This window comes from Homo sapiens, chromosome 11 (genome assembly GCF_000001405.40).
Source record: "Homo sapiens chromosome 11, GRCh38.p14 Primary Assembly".
In the NCBI taxonomy this organism is placed as follows: domain Eukaryota; kingdom Metazoa; phylum Chordata; class Mammalia; order Primates; family Hominidae; genus Homo; species Homo sapiens.
The window spans coordinates 15940836-15941445 of NC_000011.10; the positions used below are offsets into that span (position 1 = coordinate 15940836).

General features: G+C 61.0%; 1 annotated feature.

Moving 5' to 3' along the window:
* Positions 421–610: a silencer, noted in NCBI's record as "silent region_3180". NCBI's record gives its function as "represses an Ori minimal core promoter by ATAC-STARR-seq in GM12878 lymphoblastoid cells {active_cell/tissue: GM12878}" and the evidence as "EXISTENCE:reporter gene assay evidence [ECO:0000049][PMID:35858748]".

Genomic DNA, 610 nt, shown 5'->3' on the forward strand with positions numbered 1-610 from the left:
CTATAAGGCACTGTTGCTAGGCAAAGGTTGTCAATAGTTATGATATTGAAGATGGGATGCTGAAGGGCCTCCTCTTTCCTCCTTTGGCCTCCCTGAGCCATACCAGAGGAGCCTGGGGGCCACAGCCTCTCAGAGCCCAGCCAAGGCCCACAGTCTCCTCGCCTAGTGGAAACCTCAGCCTCAGGGTGGCCCACCGGCCCTCTGCCTGCCCAGCAGCCTGGGCCTGGGAATAGGCGGGCCCAGCCCACCCTAATTGCTCCCATCTTGGCATCTGCCTTTGGTTAAATGCACAGCTCTTCTCACTGGCTGGGAACATTAGCCATAAACAGAGCATCTACATGGCGGATGCTGTCGTTTAAAAATAACCCAGGCTTGGGAACCGCATTTCCCTGCCCTGGGAGTTGCTGGAATGGGAGAAGGACCATCTTCCACGGAGTTAGCTCTCCAGCAAGTCGCTCCCGGGTCCCAGGCCAAGGGCTGCCATGCTAGTGCAGTTCCCTGCGCAGCCGCCAGGTGGCGTCAAGGCCGCCGCCTGGGGGGCCGGGCAGGCCGAGGCCCCTGCCCGTCGCAGTCCCAGCCTCGCTCACCACTTGGCCCGGGAGTTGGCTGC